At 45.0% G+C, this 17854-nt stretch overlaps 1 protein-coding gene across 60 annotated transcripts in view, besides 1 other annotated feature; it reads right to left on the bottom strand.

Annotated features, from left to right (window-relative positions):
* ARHGEF7 (Rho guanine nucleotide exchange factor 7) overlaps positions 1-17854 on the bottom strand; it is a 191116-nt gene that overhangs the window by 16303 nt on the left and 156959 nt on the right. For 35 of the 60 annotated variants that reach the window (NM_001320852.1, XM_047430728.1, XM_047430732.1 and 32 more), the window contains 9 exons: positions 15480-15618; positions 14642-14701; positions 13754-13900; positions 11759-11845; positions 9082-9160; positions 8755-8894; positions 6069-6293; positions 3192-3285; positions 989-1078 (listed from right to left, as the gene is read on the bottom strand). In NM_001320852.1, coding sequence (NP_001307781.1) covers positions 989-1078; positions 3192-3285; positions 6069-6293; positions 8755-8894; positions 9082-9160; positions 11759-11845; positions 13754-13900; positions 14642-14701; positions 15480-15618 — 1061 coding nt within the window. Of the gene's footprint in view, positions 1-988; positions 1079-3191; positions 3286-4605; positions 5028-6032; positions 6294-8307; positions 8895-9081; positions 9161-11758; positions 11846-13753; positions 13901-14641; positions 14702-15479; positions 15619-17854 lie in introns of those variants that run through there. The other 25 variants (XM_047430722.1, XM_006719956.4, XM_047430726.1 and 22 more) reach the window with 4 other exon arrangements.
* Positions 8322-9521: an enhancer, noted in NCBI's record as "BRD4-independent group 4 enhancer chr13:111932258-111933457 (GRCh37/hg19 assembly coordinates)". NCBI's record gives its function as "activates an origin of replication core promoter dependent on BRD2, P300/CBP, MED14 and CDK7 cofactors, and independent of BRD4, by STARR-seq in HCT116 cells {active_cell/tissue: HCT116}" and the evidence as "EXISTENCE:reporter gene assay evidence [ECO:0000049][PMID:35650434]".

Genomic DNA, 17854 nt, shown 5'->3' with positions numbered 1-17854 from the left:
CAGCAGGGTAAATGACAGGCACGCTGCATCAGCCGCCACCCTGCTGTGCTTCACTGGCAACACCGGAGGAAAAATTTAAAGAAAAAAAGCCACCTTAGGGCCGAGCACTGTGTCTCACGCCTGTAATCCCAGCACTCTGGGAGGCTGAGGCGGGCAGATCACCTGAGGTCAGGAGTTCAAGACCAGCCTGGCCCAAAGGGTGAAACCCCATCTTTACTAAAAACACAAAAAAATTAGCCGGGCGTGGTGGTGCGCACCTGTAATCCCAGGAACTCAGGAGGCTGAGATAGAAGAATCACTTGAACCCAGGAGGCAGAGGTTGCAGTGAGCCAAGATCACGCTACTGCACTCCAGCCTGGGTGACAGAGCGAGACTCCGTCTCCAAAAAGAAAAAAAAAAGCCACCTTAATAGAAAAAAGTTTTTCATTTAAGACACTGTACATCAGACACACGTAAATCCTGTGGTTCTGAAATCTGCTGAATAAATTAGTTGTAAATTTCCAAAAAATTTTTAAAAGCAATTATTTTTTAGAAAGGCTAAAAGAAACCTTGCTCAAGGTTTGTATTTTGGATATTTCTAAGAAACTAAAAAATAATAACAAAATAAAAACCAAAAATTCCAGTACTACACCAACAGTTTAAATAGCTGAAATAACTGAACTAATCTTCCACTATCTTCTAAACACGTCTTCTCTTAGCAAAAGCATTATGAATTCTGGCAATACCTTCTATTTAAATATTTCCTAGTATAATTTTATCTAGAAAATCACACAGCAATTGTGCCCACAGCTCAGACGCAGCTGCATGAATTTAGGGACCTGAAGCTCAGCTGCTGTCCTGCCTGCCACCCCTGACTGAAACATCACTCACTGGGAGGTCAGGCGCATGGGCTGTGCAAGGGGCCTACCACAACAGGTTCCTTCAGACTGTAATTTGAAACTAAACAGAATAAACCACCACACTTCCCAGGCCTTATTGCTAAACTTACTTGAATTGAGTGTTTGCCTTGTTTTGGCGCTGGTGCAGTAAGCTTCAATGACTTTCAGAATCTGAGCATCTTCTTCCAAAGCAGCTGTGCCTGTCAAGAGATGCGCAACAGTTCACAGTCGAACTGAAAGGCCTCTAGGGCAACTGGCGAGACGAATGCAATGCAGACATCAACTCGACCAAAGTGACCAAGTAAGATAATCTGCCCTTGATTTTCTTGTCAGATAACTGTTTTCTACAAAATTCATGAGTTATATTCAAAATAAAATAAAATAAATGCAAATAAAAATATTTGCAACACATTTGGAAAAACGGCGAACATCCTAACTTTATAATGATTATCCTACCAACCCGTAAGAAAATTAGTATCCCCACTCTCAAACTGAAAAAAGGGCAGGAGATAGGAATAAGGAAGTCACAAAACAAGAAGAGTTCTAAGAAAAAATGTCCAATCTCGCTAAAACAAGAAATGAAAATTAAAACATTTTCGTGTTTCCACACGCCAGCCAGATGAAAACAAAAGGCCGACAACTCTCAGTGTCGACGTGGCCATCCGTGCCTGTCTGTTCCCCACACGGCAGCCCGTGGTCCTGTGAAAACCCGGGCCCATCATCTTGTCTATGGAACCGGACTCTGGCTGCCTGCTGCTCAGGGTGCTGTGCTACCTCCCGCTCTGCCAGGGGAGCTTGGGCCCACACAGCGCACTGTCCCTTGGGCACAGCCTGGGGTTCCTGCTCAGGGTCTCTGCAACCAGGCCTGGAGAGCTCCTCCCCAGACACCTGCTTGGCCTGCTTCCTCAGCCCCAGGAGGCTGCTCAAATGGCGCCCTGGCACCGAATCTCCCACCTGTCCTCCCCACTGGGTCTCTGCAGCACTCCATGGCCCACACATTGTTCACTTGTTTTGTTTCTTGTCTGTATCCTCCTACTAAAACATAGGCTCTATGAGAACAGGGATCTCTTTCGGCCACACTGTATCCTTCCCACCCAGCCCACGAAGGTGCTGATGAAGCACGCGTCCATGAACGATGGTCTCAGCTGCAGCCGGCCCCCGGCCCAGCTCAGTGCTGCCCCTGGATCTGCTGAAGGAAGTGGCCCACAGAACAGCCCTCTCAGAGAGAAGCCCCGGCACAGCCAGTAAGCAACAGAGCAGGCATCCAGCACCAGCTCCACTTCAATCACTAGACCCCAGGGCCTCACCATCTCATCAGGGGCCCTGGTGGTCAGGGACCTGGACTACCTAAGGAGAAGGACAGTCAGGATGGTGACTTATACTGCCATGGACATCAGGTGACAAGGACAAGAAAAGAATGAACACCCCAGCACGGTCACCTCACTGGGCTGATTGATGATAAGGTGGCGGTGAGGGGAGGCCAGCAGTGGCATGGCACAGTGAGCGTGTGGGACGGCTGCTGGGCCTCCTCCTGAGGCTGGAGGAAGTGAGCAGTGAAGGCAAAGGACCAACAAAGGCTGAGCTCAGACACAGGGGCGGGGCAGGGCAGAGCCCTGTAGGACAGATCCTGCAACTTTCCCAGAGCTGGCTCTCTCTCCCTGGGCTGCACCCATCAGTCCACAGCAATCTGTTCACGTGCACCCCTTCCCAGCAGTCACCCCCAGGAAAATCACTTACTTCTGAAAAGAGCTCCACTTATTCAAAAGCTATCTACCGAGCACCTAACAGGTGCCAGGTGCTTGCTGCGAGGCCACATAGGAACCCAGAGCTGAGTCAGACCCCTAGGCCTGAGGAGCAGACAGGACAGGTCCAACAGCAGAGAGACCAGCAAGAGAACAGCACGGGTGGGTGCTACCCACAGGAGAACACAGCAGGTCACGCTTCTAACAGACACAGGGTGCTTTGGGAGATGCTGGCACTTCAGGAAGTGTGGGTGGAATATCTTATAGGCGAGAGGGAGAACCAGAAGAGCAGGAGAGCCCTCCAGGTCCGGCCCCAGCTCCTGGATGAGGAAGGGGCTATAAGGCAGTGGTGCCGGGACTGGCACGGAGGCTTCACCACTGACACAAAGGCGCTTCTCCTGCTTGCTTGGGTAAATGTTACGTGGCTTATTCCTATCACTGCCTCAAGGGGCAGACCTTACTTTTGTTTGGAGTCTTCAGAAAGCCACCAAGCCTCCCTCTATCCCAGGAAAGCCATGGCCTACGTGACCAGGAGGCCACGTCCTCCACCACACGGACCGCAGGTACTCACTTTTCCGGGACGCGAACTCCTCATCTGAAGGCTTCCGTTCAGGTTTGCGCTTGGGCAGCAGCTTTTTCATGGTCTTAGGGCTCTTACTAAGATCCTAGGGAAAGACAAAAGAAAATGCTAACATACTCTAAAGCCAATCATTTTCACTGGCATATCAGAAAGGCTGCTGTAAAGGTATAAAACCCCAAATTATTATAGCCACTGATAAGAGCTTCTCGCCTTTTCCTACTTTGATTTTTCTTTACCAGCTTCTGAACGTTAATTTTTAAAAATCAATAGGGCATTTTCAGTATTAGTCATTGGCTAATTTTTTTTTTTTAATTCTAATAAAACCCCTCGTGTCATTTGGGTCCTGTTAGTCCTGTGATGAGAGGTGTCACCAGGAGGCAGGCTGGCGCTGGTGTGCACAGACATCCTGCACGCTCCTGAGGGAGGAGGAGAGGAGGGGGCAGCTGCTCCCTAGGACAGACCTATCCCCTGGCACAGCTAACTGGAAAGAGAGGAGGAAACTAAGGTTGTCATTAAATGACAGATAAGTAAAAAATAATTGCTTTAAGAAAATATTTGAAGTTTCAGGGAGAAGAAAAGGGAGCGAGTGCTCAGCTACCTGACTCTGAGTGCCAGGAGCACAGCCAAGCTCGGCCAGGGCTGCTGTGCAGGGGCCACATGCACACCAGCTCAGAGTGTTCACAACGGAATGGCCCACCCCTTACCTCTTCAAACAGCTTTTCAAACAAGCACAGAAGACGACGGCAAAAAACAAAGTGAGCAAAGCAAGTCCCAACAGAGCAGGTAAGGTGTCAACTGTCAAGCACGTGTTAAATACCGATATCAAAAAAAGGCTGGTTTCTGCATCACCCCAACGACATAAACCATCACGAATGCTAAACGCGAGACCAAGACTCAGAAGATGAGATGTGCTATGGAATGAACCAGGCTGGAAACAGAGGAAACAAAGCTTGGTTTTTAAAATTATCTTTAAAAGTCTTTTCTTGGGAGCTAAACAATGGGTACACATGGACATGACCATGGAAATGACAGACCCTGGGGACTCCAAAAGGCGGAAGGTGATGGGGGTGAGTTTTGAAAAGCTACCCATTGGGTACAATGTTTCCTATTTGGGTAATAGGTACCCCAGAAGCCCAAACCCCAGCATCACCCAATACAGCCACGTAACAAACTCTGAATCTAAAATAGCCTTCAAAAAGTTAAACAAAAGTATTTCTATAAAAAATTGGAAAGCTCTTAGAAATGCAGCAGCAATCTGTTCCAGAAGACACATTTATACACATGTGCTCATGGCTTCCCTAATTCGAAGCAAATTGAGATGGAGAGCCTTGAAGAGCCAACGCCCGCCCCTCACGTGCTCCGAGGGCACCTGCAGGCGCAGAGGGTCACAGAGCACACAGCACACCTGAGCCAGAGCCAGGCAGAGCGGGCTGCAGAGCGGCCTCCACGAGCCTCCATGTCCTCTTCTCACACCCTGCAAGATCACTCTCCACGCTACTGCTGGGCGGTGCTCAGCAACACTGGACGGCAGCTGCTCGGTGTGAGCCCTTCTCTCCCAGTGTGGAGTTGGCAAAGCAAATGCAGCCAGACTTATCAAAAAAAATTGTTTATCTTCACTTCAATACCCCTTCCGTTGCCCTTTCTACTTCTTTGCCCAACAGTTTTATCCCAATTTTCTTCCCTAGTAATTCAGTCTCCACCAGTTCTTGTAGTAGCTCACTTTTTCTTTAGACTGTGCACACTAAAGTATACAATAAGGAACAGCAACATTCTTCAAGTAACTTCCCATGATAGAAAATGGAAATTCTGACTTGCACACATGATTACCTGAAAGATATCATAAAAACAAAGACTCAGAACAAAAAATGAAAAGCACAGATCCTAATTTCTCATACAGTACTTTCCTGTGGGCCTTAAAACCCCCAGGGCTGCCGGCAAGAATGTAGAAAAAGTCTGCTCCAGTTCCCTTGGCAAATGTGGCCTTGACCAGACACAGAGGCACAATGCCAGGCAAGAGCGTGTCACCATCCTCACGCTCACTCACACCCCACCAACGGGCACTGCTGCTCACACTGACGCGCACGATACCCACACTCTCACCGCCACTCCTCATACCTCACCACCATGCACGCTCAACTGCTTATGAAAACAACTCTCATCTCAATTATCAGCTTCCTCAGGTGAAAGTACTTCTCAGAACAGATTTCTAAAGACACTTCCTTTCCTCATCCAAGCTGGTTTAGGTAAAAGTGTAAGGAAGTGTTAACACTTCTATTTATTCATTGGAATCGTACTTTATTTGCGCCTAGCAAATATAAAAATGCCGGATGAGAACAGAGACAAGCAAAGACCGCATCATGATTTCTTATGCATCAAAGGGGGAAACCGCCTAAGTGATTGTTTTTCATTTGTATTAGTAAATGTTCTCTTCATCTCAAATGGCTTCTGGATGACAAAATGCAGGGCTCCTGGACAGGATCCCCAACCTAGAGGAGGGGTCGTTAGACGCAGCAGACAGCGTGCAGATGCTGAGCGATGGCCTCACACACAGGGAGTGAAAGCCACCTGGGCTCAGCGCCTTTCCAGCTCCTGGCCCCTGGCGGCACACTCCTCCGGCAAGTGCAGTAAAGGCCCCCCTGTGCATGGCAGAAAGGAGGGGGACCCTGCACATCGCCTTCCCACACAGGTTACCACGGGCCTCTCAGCAGCAGAGCAGATAACCAGAGAACCAAGGCAGACCCCCCCTTCTCAGTTCTCTAGGAGTTAGGGTGCATTTTGCTGTACACAGAAGGCCCAGCACGTGGGCACACCCAGGGCCCGAGGCATGCTCACCGTCATCTGGCTGTTTGAGTGGTCAAGGGACCTCACCTCCTTGTAGCAGAGAGCAGCTGAGGGCCGGAGGGGAGGCGCGGGCCGCAGGCAGCTCAGGCTCCAGGGCTTGGGTGTTTTCGGAGGCTCCAGGGGTCCCCAGTTGATGGTGGTGTGCGGGGTGCCGTGGTGGGAGGGGTGGGGCAGCGTGTGGTAGGCGGGCGTCAGCGGCGCGGGCTTGCTGTCTGCGTGCTTGCTGGACGGAGTGACCGGGTGGGAGGGGAGCTGCCAAGGGCACAGAGCGGGAAGGGCAGAGAACATGAGACTCGCGTGCTCACCGCGAAAGGGCACTTATCACGCACTTCCTTCTGCTCTTTAAACACTCCATGTGAAATAAACCTCAGGATTTATCATTTCATTCGTATCTCTGGCTCTCAGCAGTCAGTTTTTGGGGCCAAACACTAGCTCGCGCCACCTGGGCCGAGCGTGGGGCTCCTCACGGCGTCTGCCCCAGACAGGAGGGGCAGCTCTAGCTGGGGCCCCAGCACTCAAAAGACATCCACTAGCCACATTTATTAGCTACGGAGTAACATTTATAGAAAAAAGGTACTTCATCTAGTAAAAAGATGAGAATTTCACAAAAGCACACAGGGCATGTGGCTGTAAGAAGGAAGGTGATTCCCCCCCAGCCACGTATTATTCTTCACCTGGTGATAAAGTACTGGGCGAAACTAAGGCCTGATCGCCTAGTTTTGTTTTTTAAAAAAGTTTTCCTGGCACACAGGCAGGCCTGTGCCTGTCTAAAACTGCTGTTGTGTTCCAAGGGCAGAGTACAGCTGCAAGAGGCCTGAACCTGTAAAGCAGAGAACGTTTACCATCTGGATCTTTACTGAACACTGCCAAACCCTGGTATTAAAACCAATTATGTTCTTAGAAAACTCAACTTTAATCAAAACAAAGTTAATCAAAAATTAACTTCTTAGAGCGGTGTGCCATTAATGCATTTTATATTCCTGGAAAACCCAAAATATTCCATCACAATGACAGTTAAATGAGAAAAGTTAAATAAGTCATTCTCAAAATCAGCCAATAATGACCTCAAATTAGCCAACAATAGTAAGGTGCATTTAATGGGAGAACAAGCTGTGTGGCGCTGTGAACTGGAAACGGAGTGGGGCCGGCATTCTGAGGAAGTGCGCGACCTTCAAAACACAGGCTGAGAGGGACGGCAGCTAATGCCACAATTTCAAGAATAGAAGCCATCAACTTCCTGCAACGATCACATTCTAGTCCCTGCATGGGGGAGGGAATTGTGTGAGATGCAGGTCATGCTATGAAGCCACTGTAAGGTCATCTTTTCATAGGAAATAATGTATAGATGGATAAAATTATGTAAGACATCCCTTCTAGCAACAACGTCAAAGCAGTGTCTGGTTTTGTTTCTCCTTTCTTGAAAAAGTCAAAGGAAGTATGCTTTATGCTAAAATTAGAAAATGATTTCAGCTGGTCAGAGTTGGATCACAGAATACATCATCCCACACAAGAAACTCTGTAGGAGAATGCAGAACATTTTAAACATGAGGCACAGTGCCTTCCCCGCTGAAGGGATGCCTTCCCAGCCACCAGTGAAAGAAACACTAAGACGGAGGGTCTGGCCACAGAGAAAAGCTGACTTGATATAAAATTGTATGAAGTAGAGTTTCAGGCTGCTGTTGAAAACCTGAGTGAAGCAGCTCATCCACTGTTCTTTATAAACACACGTGTACACACACGTCCCTGGGATAAACTGATCTCCATGAAAGAATGGAGAATTTTAAAATGGTAGAGCCATTAAAAATGAAATGCTAGCTAAAAGCCAATGAGTAGTTACAATCTTTACTGCTGAAAGAAATCAGATGGACTCTGAAACTCTGATGAGAATATCAGAGTACAGCAATCCTTCTTGAGCTACAACCTTCACATGAAGAAGAAAACATGAAAACTGAGCACACGACAGAGCTGATCCTAATAGCCTAATAAGGATGTGAGGAAATCTGTAAGCAGAAAACGCCTGTGTCATCGTCATTCATTCTTTAAAAGCTCTGCCCAGTTTTTCCGTATTACTTGATAAAGATGACGACTGTTAAAACAACCCGATACCAACTTCTTGAGCACAAAACACCAGGAGAGGTTTAAACACTGAAGCTTCAGTGTTCATCTATTCTGAAAAGTTGTAAAAAAAAAAAAAAAAAAAAAAAAAAAAGTCTCTAAATATCCAAAGACTTGTTGAGCTTTTCTAAGTAAAAGACACCTCAATTTCTTAAAATCAACAGTGTGTCATAAATTCTTTTAATGCCTTCAACATGAGTCTGGCCCTTTTCATCATCATAATCATTTATTTTTTGTTTTCTTAAATGAAGCATAATAAACAGTTAAAATTCTCAGAAAAATCATCTATAGTTGAGTGTAAAACTCCCCTAAATCAGTCTTCTAGGGCCACACGGAGCAGAAGCAGCTTCCCACCCAAGCACCTCTGAACTGTGCGTGAGGAGGCACAATTCAGGGTTGTTTCTCGAGAACACTCATTGGAAAACAATTCACTACTGCACGAAGAGGGCCAAAGATCTGCAGAGAAATGTGAAGCAAGTGTTTTGCACTTTTTATCCAAATATTGATTAGGTTTTAAAGCAACTGATCACTTGCTGACAGCTCAGCCACGGGATGCCACGCCTGGAGTCTGGAAGGAGGAGAAGCACCAAGTCCTTACGGTATGAGATGGCACTGAATGAGGCTTTATGGTGGGGTTTCCCACAGACGTGACCTTCGTTTGCTTCTGTAGGTGCTCCACCCATTCCTGCAGATCCTGCTGGTTGTTGCACGACACTAATATCCGCTCAATCATGCTCCCTATAGGAGAGAAGGAAAAAATAGGCCGAGTGGAAACACAGGTAAAAAGCACGTGCGTGCACACCCCCCAGAATTCCACTCAGCGCTTAAACACCACCTTCTGAAATACGCAAGCAAGAATCTGCACGCGGGGACAAGCTGCCTCTCCTCCCCGAGACACAGCACTCACACAGCTTGTGCCTATCACCTGATATTTCAAATGCATTTCTATGATTTTCACTGTCCTCAAGCTTTGTGATTGTCATTCCTGTCGTTGGAAGCTTTCCCTAAAAAAGACCCCCCCCCACAAAAAAAAAAACAATTAGTGCTTTTCTAGAAAAAGGTACCATTATTAAAGTCAATATTAAATGATTTTAGAATTGGTGGAGGAACTGTGTTTGTGAACCAAAAAAAGCTCATTTGTAGCAGATGTGTGTATAATACAAAAATTTTTATCTCAAATAATAAATTATAATACTGTACTGTAAGCAAGAAACTCAACTGGCGACAAGGGACAGAGTGACAAGCCCAAACACACACTGTATCTGATGAGCTGCTACTAAACATAGACACCAGGACAAAAGACATCACACATTATGATTTTTAAAAAACTACCGTGTATAACAGTTGTTTTAAATGATGTTTTTGCAGAAAAGAACCATGTATTTTCCTCGTAAAGAAATGCAGAGGAAGTTCCAAGTTTAAAGTCAAAATAAGGGTGGGAAATTGAGGCAAGAACAAGAATTTCATAACATTCTACTTTGTAAAACAGAAAATAAGTAGTTGTGCTAAATGCTGCACACAATGCACAAAATGGTTGGCAAACCAGTGCTCCCTGAAAACAGAAGAAATCGGTAACTGCACCAGGAAATGTCAATGGAAAGATACCAGAAAGGGGGTACAAAGTGATCATTACAAACAAGTCAGAAGTGAACACAAAACATCCTGGCACAGCTGACAGAAACCACAGTACATGGTGGCCCACCAAGTCCGCAGGAAGAGGCAGTGGGCGTCTGGGCAGCGCTGCCTGGGGAGCACTCCATCAGCTGCGGAGCAGGATTCTACATAAGCACCTCCAGACGGAGTGCTGCTCAACTGGTGTGGGGAACGTGCCCCCACAGAGAATGGGTGGCAGTGCCACAACCTGGCAGGGGCTCAGACCTCCAGCAAGTAAGGGCCAGAGAGGCTGCTGATACCCTACAGTGCCCAGGACAGTCTCACCGAGACCCCCAGCCCCTGGCCATGAACGATCCAGTCCAGAACGTCAGCAGTGCCCAGGCTGAGAAATCTCATCCTAAAGCATGGCCGGTGGAAGAGGAGACTGCTGGACACTTCTGTGGCCAAGCGTATTTAAAAAATGCTACACACTGTGAACTCCTTTCCAAGATTCGTAATGCATATAAGTACTTTAACAGCTGTAAGTCCTACAGAAAATGAAACCGCACAACTGTGTTTAACCTAGCCCCTCTGAACATCGGTGTATAGAACACTATGACTGTGGCTGGACCGAACACTTTTTGGCATCCCCCAAAGCCAGTGTTCTAATGGTAGAAACGGATACCAATGATACAGAGACCATGGGTCACCACTGTGCTAAGAATGGAAAAATAAAATCCTGTTGTTGAGATGAGCTCCAGCAGTCTGTCAACACATCAAGGGCAAATCCAGTGTAAGCACCAGCCACACAGGCAGAGACTCAAGCCTGCCACAAGTGACAACCTCTTCTCTCCTTAGGTTAGAGAAGGCCCCTGCCTCCAGCCACTGGAATGAGATTCTGGGGATATAAAATCGGAAGCCAGATAGTGCTGACCAGAAAGGACAGAGATTTAGGTTTATCAAGGTCATTTAACACAGAAGTAGCTGCTAGTTTGGGGGAAACTGTAGTGGGCACTATCCTAGCCACAGATCACCTCTCTTCAGCAGTGGCCTAACAAACTACAGCCTCACTTTCCTGAGTCTGTTCCTACATATGTGATTCACCAATTCTAAAGCACGTGTGTTGGTGTAAGCGTATGGCCACAAGTCCTCTCTGGGTGTCGGCAGAGCCTCTGTGAGGGCATAGTGTCTGCTTAGGGATCTTGAACGTCCTTGCTGCGCCAACACAAAACAACACGTGCTACAATGAAATGCAACCCAGAGAACACGAAGTGGCGGCTTCTGCTGCAGTGGTTACGTGGTGACTGGCCAGTCCTCAGAAAGTTGATGGGAAGGATATGAGCCTCTGTAACTTCCCAGAAAAAGAAGAATGAAACCTGCCAAGTGCATCTACTAGACAGACAGCGAAAATACCAGCTCCTTCATATACCACCACTATAAACCACTGTCGCAACAGAAAAGGCCCTGCTCACCCTTGCACCTCCTTCCCAAATCTGCTGTCACATTTTCTCAAAGAGAAGCAGGGAAACAAAAATTAAAAAGGTTCAACGATCACACACTGCTACTTACACCCTTACATCACTTTCTGTTTGCTGATGCATTTGGGCGGTGCCGTGCCACTGACACAAGATCTTAGTCTACACTACCCCACTAACCCACAAGCCCTACTTGAACCAATTTCACAGAATAAAACCATAGCAAGGAGGAGCAAGGTATTTTGCATGAAACGACAGAAGGCAATGACAGAGACTGACTTGTGCCACAGTAGTCTGTGTCCTTATGAGGTTGCTCTACAGTTTACACTTCTTTCCTTTTTTGAAATTAACATAGGATATGCTTGCAGTCACAACGAAACACAAACAGGAGCTGTACGTCCATATCTGAATATACAGCACTACACACACAGCACATACACAGATAGATACACGTAATATTTAACACAAAATTCAAAGCCAGTTTGAAATTATCCTCAGATCCACAATAAAATATAAATTTAAATTGTGTTTTACCTGATAGATAAAGCCACTCATCCTAGGACTGGCAGACAACATTAGCAAAACATTTGGGAAGAGTAGAAGATATCTTTCATTCTTTTCCTAATACAAAAAAAGAAATCCAAAACATTTCTTAAAAAACATCTACTTAACAAATGTGAGCACAAATACTTCACTTATTTATACTAGGCCCTATGAAACATTACATGATATTTCTCGTTTAGGTATTTCTATCAAGTTTTATCAGGTAAATTAAATGGAAACAATTATGATAAATTCTGTATTAAGTCTTAACATATGATTATGAGAGAGCTTTAACATATAGGTAAAGAGAAGGACTTCCAAATTCTTCAAAAAACAAAAGGTAAGAAAGTAAACGGACTGATTAAAAGATCCTGGACTCACAATTAGCCTGTGTAACATCTTGAAACTATATTTGGTTAAAGAGTTCAGCTCTGTGATTAACTATTTTCAGGTAAGCTAAAATTTTCTTTTTCTGGTTCAGAGAAAAAGGAGAGAACCTATAAATTTTAATGGGGTCAGGGGGAACAGGTGGAGTCTTTAAGCTAAAGAAAGGATAAAATGTTAAAATCAATTTTGGTCTACTAGTAATTCCTGGCACTTCCCAAACCTCCCAAATGTCGACTCAGTGTTGTTTTCATCCACCCCATAAACATCACCTGGTTTACATCAGACTTAAAAGTATTACTTATGTATTAAAAATCATTTGCTTCAGTAAGATAAAAGCCAAAGAGACCATAAGTGAAAGAAAAAAGTTCCTAAGAATCCAAAAAGAGACAAAAAAATGCCACAGTCCTTTTCACATGTTGACATTTAAACTACGGCCCAAAAAAGTGAAATCAGTCCTAGGAATTAGTTTCCCCAAGTATATTCCTCAGAACATTAGGCTTATGCAAAGCACCTTGAGAAAAGAGTCTTCCGTACTTTAAAGAAGTCACTGAGAACGACTTGCTATATTCCCCTCTTGAAGAATCACAACATACATTGGGAACATTCACAGCCAAGTCTCTGAGGAGCTCTATCATAAAGAATCTTTTCCACTAATTACGTTCAGTCGTGATCAGAACCACTCTGAAGCATTTTGGAGTAACACCCACCAGTGCTGTATAGATCTAATATTATAAAGAACACACTTTGGGAAATGTTTCCACAGATTAAAGTTTAAAAGAGCATGACTCAAAAAGAAACTTCTTCTGAAAAGATGTGAAGTTTTTATAATCATGGTTTCTTATGGTACCCAAACTACAAGACTATGTAGAAGGGGTGATATTTTACAGGTGGAAAGGAAAACACACTATATAAGTTTGAAGTTTTAGTTTTCTTATTCTCCTTGGAGTCTTGTGTTCAAAAATGAGTCATTTCGCATGTTTTGATCATGTTATTTTTGCAAAGGTAGAATAAAATTCAGAAAGAGGTGCCTGTTCAGTGACCCATTGAATGTATGTCAATGTGAATCATGAAACAAACTGCTCGATTTTCACTGTGTGGGTGGGTATGTCCCAAAAATCTGGGTTGATCTCTCACTTAAACCAAACCTGTAAGAAAACTGTGACTCCTGTAAGCATATGTCAGCTAGCATACTTTCACAGGAAAGTATAATGACCCGAAAGCATTGAGAGCAGCAGGTCCCTGTGAGAGTGAGCCTTGGTACAAAGTTGCTGGCCAGATAAGCGCATACAGCTCCATGCGGATGTGTGCACAGGACTCCTGCAAGTCTTTCTGCACACTATCTATCCTTCAGTTCACGTGGGCTTCGGGCCACACTGACTTCAGCTGGATCAAACTGATCAACAAGTCCACACTCAGCTCTAAGCCTCTCTAACATGCCATAAGCCTCTCTCCTGTGTCAAGAATAAAAAGTAGCTCACAAATTATAAGATAGAGCTTCTATTAGACATTTTTCATCGCTTGAGATGCCTTTAAAATCTTCTGCTATGAGCTCCTAAGAGTGGGACAGAAACCCTGGTGCGTGCATGTGGGCAGCAGTACCTCACTTCCGGCACACTGAATCAGGACCTGGGACATGTAAGTGACGTTGCCCAGAGTTTTAATGTCATCGCCCTCCCAGTTCCGGATGGCTTCCGTCAGGATCTGCAGCTCAAGCTCTTTCCTCTTCCGGACTTCTTGACATTGGGCCTGACAGACACAGAACAACACTGTTAACAGACATAAACTTTCAGAATGTTAAGTTCCGGCCACATTGCTTTGTATCATCCTTAAGACAATTATTGCTTTATATCTTACTTCTTCAGACAGATAATTTATTGAGCGATTTGCTTAATTATAGGGAATTGAAAGTATTTGCTTAGAAGTATGAAACCAAGTTAAGAGAAGCAACACACACAACTGCTCTGGAATACTAAGTATTATTTTAGAAAGATAGAGCACATTTTGCCACTTGTACAAAAAAGAAATGTGGACAGGACAAGAACTGTATTTTCATTCTGGTTTTGTTCGTGTTTGCCAATATGGAAGACTGAAAAGAAGAAACAGAAAGTATAACTTGTGCTATAAAATAAGGCCATATATTTCCAAAACGCAGTTGGTAAGACAACACAACAGCAGAGAAAATGGAACCACCATTGTTCTGTTTTGCAATAAATCATTAAAGACAACATGAATGAAGGGTAAAAAAATGTTTTAAACAATTTTAAAGTAGATCTAACATCAATTACACAGTGACTTTAAAAAATTTAAATAATTATTCTATCATAGTCCACTAAAAGGAGTTTACCAGCCACAGAATGCCGACTCTGTTTTTCTTTCATGTCAGCACAAGTCATTTTTTAATCATTTGACTTTTTCAGTTGATAATTCTTTTACATTCATTTGTCACAATAATGTCTGGGGGGGAAAACAATATGCTTAATCACTTACTGAAAGGTTTTTGAAGGCAGCCATGGATTTTTGAATATCTTGTCTATCTGTATGATAATCCTTTGAGTAAAAGAAACATACAATTAGCTTTCATAAGGAAAAGCTTTTCTTAAAAAGGTACTTTCTACAGACCAGCTTGAAACTTTTCTAACACTTTTCAACCCTTAACATTCCCTTTTTCCCTCAGCATTAAAGTGTCAGTCTTTCAGCAAATCACGAAGCCATTAGACTTTGGGGAAATATAAGTTGGAAGAGAACAGTCACAAGCAGCAGGGGTGGGGAAGCCAACACTTGCTTCATCAATAAAGTCTTATTGGAACACTGCCACGGCTCACATACAGTATCTAAAATGGCAGAGCTGTGTAGCCGTGAAGAAGACCCTACAGTCTGCCCCCTTATAGAAAAGGTTTGCCAACTCAAGCCAAGAGAGTAACTTCAACCCAAATTTCTGCTAGGCTGCAACCTGTTATTCAAAATTAAAAGAGCACAATCATTCATCAAATGATTAGTACAGTATTACCCTATAACCTATGCACACATTGTTTGTAGCTGGATGATCCAGGTAAGACATCTCAACACTATCTGAAAATCAGTTCTCATGTTTCAGCTTTTGGAAACTTTTCAATCAGCAGCAGTGGGTAAAAGAGAGATAAGGGGTAAATGTTTTCTAATAGAGCTGGAATAAGGAGAAAAACATAATATTTAACAAAACTCTTTGTAAACTCTGTTGGTTCTGGCTTCTAAAATAAATCATGAATAATACTTTCTTTCACAGTAAGTCTGACCATGCCACTAACCCTTGGTAAGGACTCCAAGTAAGAGAATGAAAGCGCAGTACCTCCATGTGTCTCTCGAGCTCTTTGAGCAGCGTAGGGTATTTATCCAGGCGCATGAAGGGTTTGCTCAGGCCCGTGGTCAGCACGAGAATCCCAGGGCTGCTGGCACCTTTGGTCTCCATGAACTCCCCCAACTCCTCACTGGGCAGCAAGTGGCAAGAGAGACACTCGTGGTTAGCAATGAGAGACAATGGTGGCTCTCTCATCTCCATGAGCAACAGCCAGAATTTATGAAACATAAGTGTTGCTTTTAACATCTGGAAGGCTCCAGCTTTTATCCCAAATCTGCGCTGCTTATCTGGAAATGCCAAAGGGGACTCCCATCCCTAAGGGGTCCCGTTCCTGCTCTCATATGAGCAACAATAACTATACACAGCACAGGACATGTGGGTCTCCATGAGATCCTACTGATGGCGAGGTCCTCCAGCACATCAGTGCCATGCAGACATATCCAATGGAAACATGCACACTCAGAGCCAGAATGGATTCCAATAATCTCAGAGTCTCAAGGTGGTAGAACAAGGACCGAGCTGCTCCGGTAAAGAGCTAGAGCACACTGATGGTAGTCATCCCCAGATGCGAGTTCGTCCAGCGAGCAGGCCCCACCTATGTGCTGCCAGCACTCAGCCTGGGAGTAGGCAATGGCTCTTGGGGTGAGGAGCACGAGAAGCAGCAAGAGAAGAGAGCAAACGCTGATTTAGGCTTCAGAACTTCAAAAGCTTTAAGTTTAATCCTCACAATACGTGAGGAAGAAAGGGGTCCCTGTGTGCAGACAGCGAATGTTGATTTACGCTTTAGAACTTCAAAAGCATTGTTACATTCAATCCTCACAACACGTAAGGAAGGAAGGTGTCCCTGTGTATGGACATAGAAACAGTGCATATCCCAAAATTAAAGAGTCAGAAACAAGTTTTAGAACTTTCTGTATTCCTCTTCAACCATCCCCTTCACAGTGCCTCGCCTATCTTTCCCTACAGTGGGTCCTCATGTGTGTCATCTTTGTCCTCAGAGTTCCCATGGCTGTGGCAGAGGACACGGGCAGGCTTCTGTGGGGGGTCCAGCTCTTCACCCACACGTTTGTTAAGGCTGACAGTCACCTGACCGCAACACCCCTTCACTGGCGATCTCTGAGGTCTCTGTCAGGCCCTGGGTCTGCTGTCCCTCAAATTGCATGTGCCATCAGTCCACACATCTGACAGTGTACAGCCCACAGAAAGGAGGGGAGGCAGCACCAGCGCTGGCAGCCGATGCCAGGTCCAGACCAGGATGACTTCTCAGTCACCACATCCCATCCAGGAGACCCAGGTGACCCCCGCCCCATCACCACGCCCCATCCTAGAAGATAGGGGTCTCTAGTCAGCAGAGCTTGGTTCAAATGATACCCATGGCACAAATCCTAGGAACAAATTTTCCTAGTCTAGAGGTTTTCCCTTAAAAGGAAAAGATACTTTTATATCCTCATTATGTAAACGATGTCCTAAAATAAACATGAAAATCCTAACAGCAAAACTGAGAAACAAGCCAATTTCCGGTTCTGGTCTCACAGGAGCCTCCCACCGCACCACCCCAGCCAAGCTGGCTACTGCCAGAGGTCTCGGGGACACCAGAACCATCAAGGGCTCCCGGGGAAAAGACAGACAGTGTTTTGGCTAACCCAGAGGAAACTGAGTCCACAAATAGTGAACATTAACAGTTTCAGAGAGTTCAACCTAAACACAGCTTCCCATAAGGAGGACTGAGAGCCAGGGTGGTGCCAGCCCTTCCCGCTTCTCACCCTCCTTATTCCATGTGGATCCCCTGCCAGGGCAGCCAGGGAGAATGTCCTCCAATGAAACCGATTCAAACACCATGCTGAAAACCAAACAGTCATTAGGAAACCAGCCTTCCACTTCCTAAGCACGTAAGACCTTCTGAGAAGGCCACTTACATCTCAACGCTTTCTACAAAACCAGGGTGGTCTCATTAACCAAGGCCAGGGTGCAGTCCTATGCTGTGTAAAAACAGTAACGATGTGGGTGCGGCACCTCTGTCTGCCCTTGCCAACAAGAAATACTTCCAATAAACACATACATATACACACTTAACAGATATTATCAATACTAAAGCAAATTATAAAAAAGGGTAATGTTGCATATATCCACTTGTAAAAAAATTAAGACAAGAAACATTTTATCAACTCCATATATAAGGCTTCATAATTATTTCTGTAAGGCTGCCCATCGTGTTGATGCTGTTTTAAAAATTAGTAGCACAGAGACTGTCAAGAGTACTTCCGAGTGTGTGTACGTGGTGTCTGTCTTTGTGAGAGAGAGCACGCACGCACGAGAGCAAGTGCACTTTTGTGGGCAACAGACAACTCAACATCTTTTGTCTGTAA

The sequence above is a fragment of the Homo sapiens genome, chromosome 13, assembly GCF_000001405.40.
Source record: "Homo sapiens chromosome 13, GRCh38.p14 Primary Assembly".
Classification (NCBI taxonomy): Eukaryota; Metazoa; Chordata; class Mammalia; order Primates; family Hominidae; genus Homo; species Homo sapiens.
Note: the sequence above shows the minus strand (reverse complement) of the source record. Positions and strands in the feature narration are given on the sequence as shown.